The 15,479-nt window shown below is 53.6% G+C and overlaps 1 long non-coding RNA gene across 1 annotated transcript, besides 3 other annotated features; it reads right to left on the bottom strand.

The window, feature by feature from the left end:
- Positions 1–1,094: 1,094 nt before the first annotated feature.
- Positions 1,095–3,026, bottom strand: LOC124909429 (uncharacterized). The gene is made up of 2 exons (XR_007096076.1): positions 2,862–3,026; positions 1,095–1,446 (listed from the first exon to the last, which is right to left on the bottom strand). It is a non-coding gene; the product is annotated as an uncharacterized LOC124909429 (long non-coding RNA).
- Positions 3,613–4,113: an enhancer, noted in NCBI's record as "H3K4me1 hESC enhancer chr3:128170962-128171462 (GRCh37/hg19 assembly coordinates)". NCBI's record gives its function as "activates a minimal SCP1, AML or CMV promoter by ChIP-STARR-seq in naive H9 embryonic stem cells {active_cell/tissue: H9 hESC(naive)}" and the evidence as "EXISTENCE:reporter gene assay evidence [ECO:0000049][PMID:30033119]".
- Positions 8,514–8,603: an enhancer, noted in NCBI's record as "active region_20483". NCBI's record gives its function as "activates an Ori minimal core promoter by ATAC-STARR-seq in GM12878 lymphoblastoid cells {active_cell/tissue: GM12878}" and the evidence as "EXISTENCE:reporter gene assay evidence [ECO:0000049][PMID:35858748]".
- Positions 8,614–8,763: an enhancer, noted in NCBI's record as "active region_20482". NCBI's record gives its function as "activates an Ori minimal core promoter by ATAC-STARR-seq in GM12878 lymphoblastoid cells {active_cell/tissue: GM12878}" and the evidence as "EXISTENCE:reporter gene assay evidence [ECO:0000049][PMID:35858748]".

Genomic DNA, 15,479 nt, shown 5'->3' with positions numbered 1-15,479 from the left:
CCACCAGGAGCTAGCTCGAGGCCCTGGGAGGTGGGTGCTGCTCACAGCTTGTTCCCAGTGCCCAGTTCACAACATGGGCCTCAAAATACAGGCTATGAATCAGGGCTACACCTCTACTGGCAACCTCAGCATAAGACTGGGACTCAGACTTCAGGTCTGCACAGCACTGTCCACTGGATGCTTCCCTGGTGGCCCCGGGGCTCTGCAGATGCTCAGTTTCCAATGCACCCGATCCCTGCCCCAGCCTCCTCCCTGGGCCCTGGGCACCAGCACCAGCTTGTCAGAGGTGGCCTCCCCACGGCCCGAGCCATCTTCTGACCTGGGCACATCCCCTCCAGCCTTCAGAAAATACCAAGGTGCTCTGCTTCTTGCTGAGGGCATGGATCATTCATCATCATGAGTCTGAAGTCCAAACTCCCCAGAGTGGCTCACAGGGAAATATTAAAATCCACTCCAAGGTCTTAAGGACAAATTCAAACTGCCCGCTCTGTCCGCGGGTGGAAGCCTCCACACTCCTCACCAAGATCCTGGACAAAGTCCAAACCCCAGTTGGGACCCACAGGCTCGCATGGGGTCCAACCTCTTCTCCAGCCTCGTCCTTTACCGCCTCCCACCTCTCTCTTTTACCATCAATGGGCTATTTTTGTATTTGTTTAATTGTGGTAAAATACCCACAACACGATTTACCATTTCACCATTTTTACGTGGACAACTAAGAGGCATGAAGCACATTTGCACTGCTCTGTTGCCCTCACCACCATCCGTCTCAGGACTCTTTCCTCTTCCCAAATGGAAGCTGTCCTCACTCACCTCTAACTCTGCACCCCCTAGCTCCTGGTGCCCCCCATTCCACTCTCTTTCTCTGTGAAGTGGACTACTCCAGGGACCTCAGGGGCCTGGGGGCTGGGACAAGGGTGCGGGCAGCCCACCTGCTTCCTGCTGCCTCTGAGGCCACGCTTGGGCTTTGCTTGGGTCCCTCCTCACCCCAGCGCGTCCTCTCTTTTGCAATTCTCTTTCACTGTCTTTTGGGTTTTTCAGAAAAGGAGCCTGCAATCATTTTCTATTGCTTCTGTAGAAAATTACTACAAACTTTGTGGTTTAAAGCAACCCAAATTTATTGTCCTACAGTTCTAGAAGCCAGAAGTCCCAAATGTGTCTCCCTGGGCTAAAATCAAGGTGTCTTCCTCTTGAAGTGTCCAAGGGAGGACCCGTCTCCTGGCCTTTTCCAGCCCAGAGGCCACCTGCATTCCTTGGCTGGTGGTCCCTTCCCCCATCTTCAAAGCCAGCAGCACAGCATCCTCCAGTCTCCTTTTCTGACTCTGACCCTTCTGTTTCCTCTTGTAAGTGCCCTTGGGATTACATCTAGGGCCCACCTGGATGATCATGTATAGTCTTCTTGTCTCAAGATCCTTCACTCAGTCACATCTGCAAAGTCCCTTTTGCAATCTAAGGGAACACACAGGTTCTGGGGATTAGGACGAAGACATCTTTGTGGGGAGGGGACATTGTTCCACCCACCACAGAGCCTGCAGAGAGAAGAGGTGATCTCCCCACAGGGCTGGACAGAGGGGCTGTTGAGAGGCTGGCTCAAAGCCACCTACTCCTCAAATGGCCTCCCGCCTGGGGGAACCATATTCCAGGTTGCTCAGGGAGGGGCACTCGAATGCCTGGATCCCTGGGCAGGACCTGCCCCTAGTGCCTGTCCCTGAAGAGGAGCCTCCTGGGGAGGAGGTAGATTGTGCCTGGGATGCAGAGCAAAGGAGGAGAGACCAGGAGGCTAGGGCTGAGAGGCAGGGCTGGGAGGAGGCCCATGTGGCAGGAGCTTGGCAGCAGGACCTGGGAGATGGGATGTGGGGGCAGGGCTGGGGGTTCCTGAGCAGAAGAGCCAGTGCCTGCATGTGGCCAAGGCTGGGAGGGTGCAGGACCCGCTTGGCCCCCCTGCTGGAGACCTCAGGTTTGTCCCTGCCTCTCTCTGGGACTGGCTTTCTCTATCTTTTTCCCCTGGCTCTGGAGACACTCCCAGCGGTTCCTCCCCAAGGCTGTGTCCCTTGTCCCAGAGCCCTGGCTGTGGCATCTCGTCTGTCTAGAGGCATTAGTCACCCTTCAGTTTAACCCTGGGAATGGTCTGGGTCTGGGTCCCCAGGAGGGCCCAGGATCACAGCTCAGAGCAGAGGATACAGAGGGGCAGCTGGCCCCTGGGGACCCAGGATGCAGACCATGTGGAGATGTGGGTCCACAGGTAGTTTTGTTTTGTTTTAAGAAAAGATATGATCACAGCCTCCATCAGCATCTCAGAGGGGTCCAGGACTCACCAAAGGTTGAGTGTGACCTCAGGCAACATTGCTGAGCGTCCCTCCCCATCCCTGGGGCCATGTCCCTGGGCCTGGCACTCCCTAGCTCGGTGGGGTGTGGCCTGGGGACAGGCCTGCCCTCCATGGGGCTTGGGAGCACGGGTGCTGGGCAGCGCGGGGCTGGGGCCACCTGCCCGCCAACCACACTGCGCTGTCACACCCCAAAGCAGGAACCTGGCACCGCCAGTCACTCAAGCCCCCGGGCGCCGTGGTTATGCCTGCGGTCACCCGAGCAGCCGGTCAGGAAACCCCTGGGGTCGTGGGGTTCTGGGGTGGTGGTGAGGGCACGAGTCTCCTTCAGGTTCCTGGGTCGCTGCTGGCTTTGGCCACCTCCCACTACCTTGAGCCTCGCCATACCCACTCAGCCTTCCCCCAGCCACTCGGCTCCCATCCCCAGGAGCGTCCCTTCAACGCTTCCCTATCAAGGGCGGCTGGAGCTGCGTGTTTTCTGCGGCCTGTGTTTCCCCTGTTTCTCCCTCCCTGGGATCCCAGGAACAAGTCCTTCTCTACCTGCAGGTTCCTGAATATCTTCATCTGGCATTCAAGTTGCCTGGGTCTGGGTCCAGCTCTTGAGGGCAGGGACACTTTCTGATCTGACCCCAGTTTGCCCAGCACAAAGCGGGGCTCATTTGAGCATGGAGGTGACTGGAGAAAGCTCTGCCCTTCGTCGCTAAAGGAGATCGGGCTGGTGGCCCCAGAATTCCTGTGGCCATAGGAGAGGGAGCAAACAGCCCAGCGTGGCCCTGCTGTGCTGCTGAGTCCCCCCGGCTCTCCCACGGCATGGCTGTGGCGTAGCCCCCCAACCTGTGTGGTCCTGGAGCTGGGCCCTCCAAGCATCCCTCTAGGAAAGGCAGGCAGGAGCCGTAATTGCAAGAGGCTGATTGTCATACTTGCTGTACGTTGATATTTGATTAAAAAGGTAATCAGTAATTGGGCTTATTGATCCGCTGTCAGCTGCCAGCTAGGCAGGGCTGCCTGTGGAATTGTTCCCCAGGAGAGTGGCCACGCTTCTCTCTGAACTGGGTCAGCGGTGCCAGCTCTGCTCACACCAGCTCAGCCACTGATTTTGCGGCCTACCATGGGCTGGATTCCCTAGCAGCTGGCGGATACTAGTGGAGTGTCGCTGCTGCTCACTGCAGGGGCTGCCCTGGGGGTGGCGGGATGGGGGTCAGCCCTCCCCAGGCGGCCGTCGCCAGGCGGGGCATTGCCTCCCAGTCTGGTCTCTGCCTTGGGCTCCAGGTGATGGGTCTACCAGGCAGTGTCCTGAGTGCTCCACCCTGGATGGCCCCTCTCTCCCCATGCCTCACAAGCACTTGGCATCTTCTTCTCCAAAGCCAATCCCATCTTGTGTCCCTTCCCAGGCACCTGGGAGTCATCCTGAATGCCTCCCTCAGACACCACATCCTGTGGGTTCTCCCTCCAGGCCCTGTGCCCTGGTCAGAGGCTCCATCATCACCCACCTGAAGGCAGTGAGGAAGCAGGCGCAGCTCGGGGCGGCATTCCCTGTGGAGAGCACAGCCGGTGCCAAGGCCCTGGGGCAGGAGCACTCCCGAAAAGCAAAGCATCCCCTGAGCCGAACGGGGTGAGGAGGTATAGAAGAGGTGGTAGAGGCTACACCACGTCAGAAGACTCATGGGCCCTTTGAAGAGCTGTGTTCCTTGTGGAGGAGATGGGCAGCCATTGGAAGTTGCGGGTGGAGGAGGAGCTGGCCTCTGTTCTGTCTGGACTGCTCTGGCTGCTGCATGGGGCAGGCTGCTGGGGCCCCGGCATGGGGAGGCACAGCGGTGCAGGCGGATATTGGGAGGCTGCATCTGGAAAGTGAACTGATGAGGCTTGCTGGTGGATCGGATGTAGGGGCGAGGGACAGGAGTCAAGGATGGCCCCAAGGCTGCTGGTAAGACATGTTGTAGATGCTGCTCACAGGACAGTGCAGGGAGCAGGTGTCTGGAGGAAAGTCCCATGCATCGCCGGTCAGGCTGAGTTTGAGGTGTGACAGGCAGCCATGTAAGAAATGCCTGGTAAATAGCCGGACACGTGGATTTGGCTTCGGGATAAAAGTCAGGACCGGGGATGGATACTCGAGACTTATTAGCTTATAGCATGGTATTAAGGGGATGAGAGTGGACAAGATTACCCAGAGAGTGAACAGAGATGAAGAAAAATCCAAGGACATTCAGAGGCCAGAGAGAGGAGGAGAGGCCAGCAGGAGGTGGGAAGGAACGGGCCCCATCTAGCTCACCCCACCGTTCCTCGTCTCATCTGCACCAGTTAGCATTCTCTGGCTACAAGGGACAGACTTCAACCCCAGCCAACTTCAGTTAAAAGGGAGGAGGAACACTATTGAATGGGTACAAGCTGAGTCAAAAGGAGAAGAAATCACACAGGTGTGGTGAGGCCAGGAGCCCAGGCAGTCCTGGATTGAAGGATGGTCTCCTTAGGTTGCTGCCATTGGAACAGATCAGCCCCTCATTTCCCCTCCTTACATGAATCTGCTCAACGGTCTGTCGGCCATGCTGGTGTGTAGGAAGGTGATCACCGTCACTAGCTTCACCATCATCATCCCTGTCATCATCACCGTCATCCCCTCAGCCACCTCCCGCACCACTGTTCCCACTGCCCTTGCATGTCGCCACCACCACCGTCACCTCCACCTCCACCAACACACCCTCATCGTTCAAAACCATGCCAACACTACCCCCGCCCTGCCATCGCCATCACGACTGTCACCAACACTCCAGACACCATCACCGAGCGAGGTTTGAGCATCCACTACGTGACTGGCAGGAGGTTGGATTTTGTTGACACCACGATGAGCAAAGATCACTCCTACCTTCAGGTGGGTTATAGTCTAGTGAAGGAAACAGATTTGACTCAAATAGTCACAACAAAAGTTGTGAAACTATTACTCAAATGTGCACCACAGGAGGCAGAAGGGAAGATGAGCAGAACTGCCCTGAGAACAAGCTGTCAAGATCTAAAAGGGAGCAGGGGTGATCCTGGAGAGGAGCATGTGGCAGGCAGAGGGTCTGCACCTGTGTAGTCCCCACAGCAGGAGGGACAGGTGATGCCAGGGCTGGAGAAGACCACTGTGGCTGGCAGGTGGTGGCAGGTGCTGGGCTGTCAGGGACCACATGGTGCAGGGGCTGTAGGATTATTGTCACCTGGATGCTAAGAGCAATGAGAAATTACAGACGGGTTTGAAGCAAGATGGTACTATTGGATTTGCACTGTGAAAAGATCATTCCAGCAGCCACGTGGAGAAAGGATGACAAGGCCAGCATGGCAGCAGGGACCAGTTACGAGGAGTCCCATTCATGCAGGAAGGTGGCTGTGGGGGAGACAGACAGAAGAGGATGGACTCAACACTTCTCTGGGAAGTGAGATCCCAAAGGTTGTGGTGATGGGTCAGAATCTGACTAAAAGGAAGGGACAGTTGAGGCAGACCGCCAGGTGTTTGGCCCAAGCATCAGAATGAATAGTGGGGCCCTCCACTGAGACAGGGAAGGAGGAAAAGGACTGTGTTTGGAGAAAGAGCATGAGCTCAGGTTTGGACCTGCTAGGAACGAGGTGCCCTTGAGACCCCCACTATATTTCAATGGTCGGTTGGAGCATGGGTCTGGACCCAGAGAGATGCTTAGGTTTGAGAACACGTTTCAGAGTCATCTGCGTATAAGGAGTCAGTGAGAGCTGGAGTGGACAAGGCCACTCAGGAATAGCCAGGCAACAGGGCCGGGAATCCTGTCCTTAATGCCCGGCTGGGGAGGAGAGCCCTTCAGAGGACACAGAGCAGGGGTCTCTGGAGGGAGGGACTGCGGGGAAGAAAACCGGCCTGGGGGGTACCTGGGAGCCAGGAGGGGAGGGTATTTCAAGAAGAAGGGAGTGTTAAACCACGCTGACCACTGCAAAGAGGCTCAAGAGTGACAAATGAGGCCTCAAGAACATTAGTTGGTTCTGGCAACACAGAGGACATTGTTGACCTTGTGGAAGCTGCTTCTATGGAGTGAGGGGGCAGCGATCAGACTGGGATGGGAGTGGGGGGCCGAGGGAATGGGACTGCAAACACGGACAGCCCTGTCCAAATGCTGGGAGAGGGAGCGGAGAAGTGCGGACAGGCGGACCAGAAGCGGCCATGGCACCAGTCGGGCTGAGCTGAGCTGTGCTGTGGTACCAGCCTTGGGCCACACGGTCCTCTGTGCCCTTCACTTTCTGTGGACACAGAGGCTCGATTCGATTCAGGGGTGAGGCCTTGGCAAGAACCTGCATAGGTGGGTGTGCCTCCCACGGCGGTACTCAGGGACGCCTTGGGTCCACCTGCTCCTTTTTGGTGGGGTCAAGACTGACCAGTGGTTCAGGGCTTCCCAGCCTGGCCCATCTGTGATAAAGTCCCCATCAGCTTCTCACCCATGACTTTGGTGGTCAATGGTTATCATGCCTAGTTCATTATGACGGGTTGTGACGTGATGACATCATCCCTTCTTTCTATTTTATACATGAGCTGGCATTTTCCTAAAGAGAGCTTCCCTTGGCAACTAGTTACTCTGAGAAATAGTTCATATAGGAAATGCACGACTGCTGGCCATTCTTTCCTTTTGTTTTAATATTTCTGGAATGATGAGGTGGTTTCCAGTATACTCATTGTTGACCAATGAGGTCTGAGCTCCACTGGGAACACATGGGTTTTTAGCACCTTTGCTCTCTTTCCATCTATTGAAATTTTCTGACATTCAAGGTATCTGCTGTCTGGCCTGAGTGGGAGCCCCTGCAAGCAGCCCCCATATTTTGTTTTCGTGGCTCTATGGTCTCTGATGGCTGCCCTTGTGTCTATAAGATGCTCCAGGCTCGTGTTGAATATGCTCTGACTCATACCTGGTGCCTTTGAGTGGGACATGGTATTTAGAGACCATGGGAGCAGAGAACTGAGAGGAGCCTGGGAATGGAGAGGAGGAAAAGGAAGATGTGAACACTGCCGTCTGCTACAGGAGTCTGGAGAAAGCAGCCGAAGAATAACGGGGCCGAGGGCACTGCAGATCCACTGGGAAGAACACAAGTTGTGTGGAAGAGGAGGGCTATGTGTGGTAGAGAGAAGGGGCATTCATCATGTAAGGTCCTCAGAAAGGAGAGGGGCTGGGGCCACACACAGGTGAGTTCAGTCTTGGCGGAAGCAGCAATCAATTCCTCTCACAACAGCAGGGAGGAAAGAGAGAGATGTGTGCTTGTCGCTTGGTCACAGGAAGATGAAGGACTTCCTGTAGCTTCTAGTTTTTCTGTAAAATTGGAGGTGAGGTCATTTCCTGAGAATAAAGTGACAGGAGAGCAGGGGAGAGGCTAGAGATTTGGGGAGGGAGACGTTTCTTAATGTCTCTTTAGAGAGTGGGAGGATTGGGCCAGGTGTGGTGGCTCACGCCTGTAATCCCAGCACTCTGGGGGGCCGAGGTGGGAGGATCATGAGGTCAGGAGTTCAAGACCAGCGTGAACAACATGGCGAAACCCTGTTTCTACTAAAAATACAAAAATTAGCCAGGTGTGGTGGCACGCACCTGTAATCCCAGCTACTCAGGAGGCTGAGGCAGGAGAATTGCTTGAACCTGGGAGGAGGAGGTTGCAGTGAGCAGAGATCATGCCATTGTACTCCAGCCTGGGTGATAGAGTGAGACTCCATCTCAAAAAAAAAAAAAAAAAAAAAAAGAGTGGGAAGGTAGGCTGGCCCCAGAAGCACAGAAGCACAGGCTGCTGGGCCATGGGGAGGAACCGTGCAACCATCCTTAGGAATTCACACTGAAACCAGTCGTCCCTTGGGGGTTGCTTTCTCTGGGCTAAGCTGCTCTGGTGCAGGTAGAAGAAGGCAGCGGCCTCCTGGTGTCTATGCCCTATAGAGCCCCTGCCCACACTGTGTGTAGTGGACATAGATAACCAACAGGATGTTTTGGAAATGACAGACTATGACTTCTGAAGCTCAGGCATCAAAGACACTGTGGGTTTCGCTTTCTGCTCACTTAGGTTATTCGCTCTGGGGGAAGGCAGCTGCCATGTCATGAGGACACTCAAATGGCTCTGTGGAGGTGTCCCTGTGGTGAGGAATCAAGTCTCCTGTCAACAGCCAGCACCAGCTTGCCAGCCCCTGTGTACACCATTTTGGAAGCAGGTCCCCATCCCCCGTCAAGCCTTCAGATGATGATAGTCAACATCTTGACTGAGTCAGAACCACCCAGCCATGCTGCTCTGGGATTCCCCACCCACAAAAGTGGCATGAGACCATAGTGTCTGCTGTTGTTGAAACTGCTAACTTTTGGGATGATCTGTTACACAGCAATAGGTAACTAACACTGATTGTGACCACAGAAAGACAGTGGTGCATGCAGTGTAGGGTGCTAGCAAGCATGCTATTGCAATGCAGTCTCCATGCTATTGCAACGCAGACTCCGCAGGCTCTGACTGGTGGGGTTGGGGAACTGAAGGAAGTGAGGAGGCTGATGGACTGAGGGAAGCAGAGGGAAGCTCAGTCCCTCCTGCACTGAGCACTGGAGGAGGGAGCCAGTGAAGGGGAGAGTGGCCAAACCAGGGGATGGCCGAACGAGGCAAGCTGGGCAGAGACAGAGGTTAGGATGTGGGGAGAAAGGTGTCTGAGAGCACAGCAGGAGAAGGTCACTGAGGATGAGCCAGTCAGGAAAAGAGGATGAGCCTGTCCAAAGGCCAGGCATTGGACAGATTGTCCAAGTGGACAAGAAACTCCTCCAGGAAGATGGGAGAGCTGGGATCAATGGGGAAGCCTGTGAGTCTCTTCAAATTCTTCAGTGAATGAGGAAGAGTGGCTAGGAGGTCAGGAGATGCAGCAACAAGAGTGGGAGTGGTGGGATGGCCTACTGATGTGAGCCTCAGAGGGGAAGGCTGGACTTAGGGAATTTGTTTTTGCATAAGGAGGAAGAGGACAAGTCTGAAAGAAAATTAAAGAACAAGTAGACTGACCCAATTTCCTGACTCTGGGATAAGGAGGATAGAGAAATTAAAGCCATTGTCAGCACCGTTGCCACCACCACCACCATGCCCATTGCCATTACTGCTAACGTTACTGTGTTAGGCCGTTCTTGTGTTGCTGTAAAGAAATACTTGAGGCTGGGTAACTTATAAATAAAAGAGGTTTAATTGGGTCACGGTTCTGCAGGCTGTACAAGCATGGTACCAACATCCGCTCGGTTTCTGGGGAGGCCTCAGGAAGCTTACAATCATAGCAGAAAGTGAAGTGGGAGCAGGCATATCACATGGTGAAAGCAGGAATGAGAGAGTGTGGGGGAGGTGCCACACACTTTTTAAACACGAGATCTTGTGGGAACTCTTTTACTATTACAAGGACAGCACCAAGTGGATGGTGCTAAGCTATTCATGAGAAATCTGCCCCCATGATCCAATCACTTCCCACCAGGCCCCACCTCCAACATTGAGAATTACATTTCAACATGAGATTTGGAGGGACAAATATCCAAATTATATCAGTTACCATCACCATTACAGCCATAACACATTATATTGGTGTCGGCAAAATCATTACCCTTACCATGAACATCAGCTTTACCACTAGCACAAGCACTACCAGCACCACCACTACCACCACCATCACCATAACCATGACTCCCACCATCACCATCATCACCATGAACACCACCTCCATCATTATTACAACCACCACCATCGCCACCACCATACCCATCACTATCACCATCACCACCTCCATCACCACCACCACCATCACCACCACCTCCGTCACAATCACCACCACTGTCACCATCACCACCTCCATCACCACCATGACCAACACAACCACCATGACTATCACCTTCACCACCACCACCGTCACCATAAACACCACCACCTCCATCATCACCATCCCCACCACCTCTAGCACCACCACCACCACCATCGCCGCCATCACCACCACCACCAGCACCACTATCATTACCACCACCACTATCATCACCATCCCCACCACCACCATCACCATCACCACCACCACCACTATCATCATCACCACTACCACCACCACCATCACCATTGCTACTATCACCATCACCATCACCATCCCCACCACCATCATCACCACCACCACCACCACCACTATCTTCATACCACAACCACCACCTCCATCACCACCCCCACCACCTCCAGCACCACCACCACCATCACCATCACCACAACCACTACCATCATCACTACCACCATCATCACCATCACCACCACCACCATCACCACCATCATCATCCCTACCACCTCCAGCACCACCAGCAGCACCACCACCACCATCATTGCCATCACCACCATCATCACCACTGCCACCATCATCATCACCATCCCCACCACCACTATCACGACCACCACCATCACCACCATCACCATCCCCATCACCTCCAGCACCACCACTACTGTCACCATCACCACCACCACCACCATCAGTAGCAGCAGCACCACCATCATCACCACCACCACCATCACCATCATCACCATCTCCACCACCACCATCATCACTATCCCCACCATTATCACCATCACCACCATCATTATCACCTTTAGTGTTAGCAACAGAGGACAGCAGGGGAGAGGTTAGAGATTTGGGGAGGGAGACATTTCTTAATGTCTCTTTAGAGAGTGGGAGGATTGGGCCGGGCGCGGTGGCTCACGCCTGTAATCCCAGCACTTTGGGGGGCCGAGGCCGGAGGATCATGAGGTCAAGGAGTTCAAGACCAGCGTGAACAACATGGCGAAACCCTGTCTCTACTAAAAATACAAAAATTAGCTGGGTGTGGTGGCACGCATCTGTAATCCCAGATACTCAGGGATTATCACCTTTAGTGTTAGCAACATCATCACCGCGTTATTATCACCTTTAGTGTTATTATCACCTTTTGTGTTAGCAACATCATCACCACTGCTACAGGCATCACTATCATTACTAACAGAAACCCATCACTGCCACTACTACTGTCACCTTCTGTATCGGCAAGATCAATATTGTTGCCTTACACATCAGTATCACCAGCATCACCTCAAACATCACCATGACCATGTCCATCACCATCAATGAGACTCTACCATCACCTCTGCCACCACCACCTTCTCTATCACCTCACATGCACCACCAGTACTTGGACCCCCACCTTGCCGGCCATCATTGCTCCCACCTTCAGGAAGCCACCATGGCCACCAGAAACATCCTCATTGCCACCCCTAGTGCCAGCATTGCCACCTCACGCCTACCACCACCTAATACCTAACCTCTACCACTTCCAGCCTCATTGGCACCATCACCACTACCAAGTCTGAATCACAGTGGCAGACTGTCAACTGCACCTCAACCAAGCGGGGGAAAAATTATGGCACATCCATGAAAAAATAAAAGAAAATGAAATCACACTGGCAGAGCTGCTAGATGTCTGCCGCAATATCCATCCCCCTTTTCTTCCTTAGAAACAGAATGCCAGAGTCTTCCATGGCACAGGGGTGCTGGGAATAGAGATCACATTTCTTAGGCTCCCTTGCAGTTAGGTGTGGCCATGGGACTAAGTTCTAGCTGAAGGGCTCTAAGTGAGAGTGTGAGGGACTTGCAAGAAATCTTAAGGAGGGCAGCCCCTTCCCTGCTGCGGCCCAGGCAGCCACCCCCTCTCGCCCACGTTACCACGATCACCGCCTAGCGGGTCTTTCTGCATCCTCCTTTGCCTCCTGACTCTATGCAGCAGCTAGTGTTCTGTGAAAATGTCAATTAGACCAGTTACTGCCTTATTCAAAACCGTCCAGCCAAGAATGAAATCCAAACTCCTTCTCCTAGGCACAACGTTCTGCCACCTCTTCATTCCCATCTCCCACCAGACTCCCTCTTGCTTGCTAATCCCTATGTGGCACTGCTTTTGAAGCCCCTAATGAACGACTCTCCTGCTCACCACAGGGCCCTTGCACATGCTGTTCCCTCTGCCCAGAATGTTCTTCAACCTCTAACTTCTATGGATTCTTTCAGCTTCTGCTAAAATATTCTTTGTTCCAGGAGCCCTGCCCTGACCCCCTAGCCAGGTGAGCATCTTGTATACTCTTGCTTCAAGGCCCTGTCCTTGTTTGTAACAATAAATCTGTGTGTTTCCATGTTGCATGCATCCTCCCTACCAGGTGGGGCTGCCCTGGGGGCAGGGTATGTTGGGGGACGGTTGGTGCCTTCTGTTTTCTCAGTACCAGAAACAGCACCAGGTACATGGAAATATTTGTTGAAAACAATGCATGGGTGAGGGAATTAATGCTGACCCCATGTCTAGATCTAGACTCCTGCCTCAGTTTCCTTCAGGGAAGTATTAAAGTTTTCCTTGCCTCAGTTTCCACATTTATAAAATGGGAATAACTATAGACCCTACTTATTGCGGTTGTTTGGAAGATATGAATAAGGGTTTAGAGCACTGTACGGCTGAAGGATCACATAAGTGCCTCCGATACTGTTTTTGTTTCCCTGCCCACTGGGTCTGTTTTAATGACACTGGGGCCTCTCTCACCTCCAGCCTGCTGGAATAGACATCGTCCCTGTCTCATCCTGTCAGCCTCTTTCCTGAGATCTGGACCTACTTCTGACTTCTTAGCTCCTGAAAGGTCCGGACGGTTTCCAACACCCTCCCTAGCAGATCATGCCCCTTGATGTGAACCTGGGCCTGGAGCACATCCAGGTTTGCCTTCAGTCCACCTCCAGCGGAGCCTCCAGTCCACCTCCAGGACAGCCTCCAGCCCACCTCCAGGGGAGCCCGGCTTCTCACTCCCCCACTGTTCTCTTAGGTCACCCCTGGTTCCCATCTAAACTCACCTGACTCCAGCATTTTGGCTGAAATGATACATTCAGCAATTTTTACTGAATGTTCAAATGTTATTTAATCACAACAAAACTTGCGTACTCTAAAACTTAAACAATACAGAGAAATTAAAAAACAAAATTAAATAATCACTCCCAAACCCCACTACCCAAAATAATCATCATGAACCTGAATGAGTGTAATTCCACATCCCTCTGGACCCCTAGATACCCAAGACCAAGAGAGGCCAAAAAATATGTAGCTGGAATCACTGGTGTAATAATGCATCATAGCATATGTGCAGTTTAACAGTGTGAAAAGGTTCCATTGAATCAGAGTTAAAAAAGCTTAGTGTGCCATAGGAGGAACTAATGTGCCATGGAATGTTGTGCTGGTCCACTCTGCTGCTGAAGCCGTGCTAAGCAGGCCCGGGAAGCAGTGTGGCATGCACCCTGGTTATCTTGGTAAGATGCATGGGGCTTGCTGTATCCGTGGGGACCTGAGGGATCCCAAGCTCTGGGGCAGGCTGTGAAATCTCTTTTGGGGAAAAGGAGAAGCTATTGCCCCTCACACCTTTTACCACAAAGAAAGAGGCACAGCATTTAGTGGGCCTTCTGGGACTGGGATGCAGCAGCTATCAGCCTTGGGGACACTGCTCTGCATTCATCAGGTAGCTCAAAGGCTACACATTTTGAGTGGGCCCCAGAGCAAGACAGGCCCCGGCAGAAGGCTCTGACTGTGGTCAATCTGCCCTGAGGCCTGGCCACACAATGTGATGGCAACAGACACGCCTTCGTGCGGGATCTCCGGCCAGTTCTGGTAGGAAGTTGCTTAGAGTCCTGCAGCGAGGGCGTGCTGTCCTAGAAGGAGCTCCTGGAATGCTGCTGGGCCCTGCAGAGCCTGGGACATCCAGTGACCCTGTGACAGCAAGCAGCTGGCTGTGATCAGATCCACTGAGTCCTGAGGTGGCTGGATGGCTGGCACAGTGGCCACCCATTGTGTGACAGAAGGCGGAGGCGCTCAGGTCCAGACCTGAGCAGGTCTGCGGAGGAGGCCCAGACTCCCTGTCACCCATCTCTGTTGCGCTGACACCTATTCCTGGGCTCACCTATGGCTTCATGGGAGGGTCCCCTAAGGCCACCTGATAGAATTAAAAATGAAGGCCTGGCCCACAGACGGGTCTGCAACCAAATATGGACCCCCATGCTGTTCTACAGTTCCCAGGAGCGCCCCTGTAGAGGAGCAGTGCTTCGGGCAGCCCTGTAAGCAGTGCCCTCAATGGCTCCAGCTGTAGGGAGAGACCCTGACCTGAGGAGGGAGTGGCATGAACTTGTGTGGCCAGGCTGGCTGGCCATGGACCCAGAAGGAGCGAGCTTGGGAGATCTGAGGCCAGGAGGTCTGGGGTTAAAGGACAGGTTGGGCACAAAGTGTGTGCATCTACCACAGACAGATGTGACAACCAGGGGAGCCTGACCTGGTCAGTGGCCGCCAGTCAGCCTGTGTCCTTGGCCACTCCAGCGCTTGCACAAGCGGTTTATGAACAGAGGCACCAGGAGGGCAAGAGTGGAGCCATCGGTCTCCGCTACTGTTGCTGGGAAATAAGCAATCACAGTGGCAGAGACAGATGCTGAGTCGGTGATTGGAGACATCCCTTGAGACTGACAGCTACTCAATGGTAGGTTGGTTACTTTGGACCCTGCCCCCCATGGAGGGGCAGCAGCTCGCATGTGCACCCACCCTGGTTTGCCTTCTGGCTGCAGAGCCTCCACTGACATCCCCTTCCCAGGGCTCATGGGGATCTGGTGGCAACATTTCTCCAGCAGGGCAGGAGGCTTCTCAATCAGTTTCCCATCAGAACCGAACACACAGAAAATGATTCGAGTGATGACTTTCTCAGTGTACCCCAGGATGATACAGAATTGGTACCATACTAGATACCCAGGAGAGAAGTTAATCCACTATGTACAATGCAATCCTTAAGTTTAAAAGCTTACTCCTCAGGGAACCCTGGCATCCTGCACAATTGCCTTGGACTAGGGGACTGAGCTGCTGTAAGGAGGTGACAACAGGAATGTAAGAATGGGTGTCCTGACCTCACTTTATTTCACATTACTCAGAAGTGGCTGGTCTAAGAGGAGTGGCCCATGGGAGACTCAGCTCAGGTGCCCGCCTGACTAGCAGCCCGAGGGCTGGGGTCTTGTCCTGTGGGCGGCAGTGCATGCAATGAGCCCAGGCTGGGCCCCGGAACCGGAATACACACCTGGAGTTTGGGGAGGAGGCCCGCTCACCATCATTCCCTTTTGCAGAACACAGACTTCCTGCC

This window comes from Homo sapiens, chromosome 3 (genome assembly GCF_000001405.40).
Source record: "Homo sapiens chromosome 3, GRCh38.p14 Primary Assembly".
Taxonomy (NCBI): Eukaryota; Metazoa; Chordata; class Mammalia; order Primates; family Hominidae; genus Homo; species Homo sapiens.
This window is presented reverse-complemented; position numbering and strand designations above follow the sequence as displayed.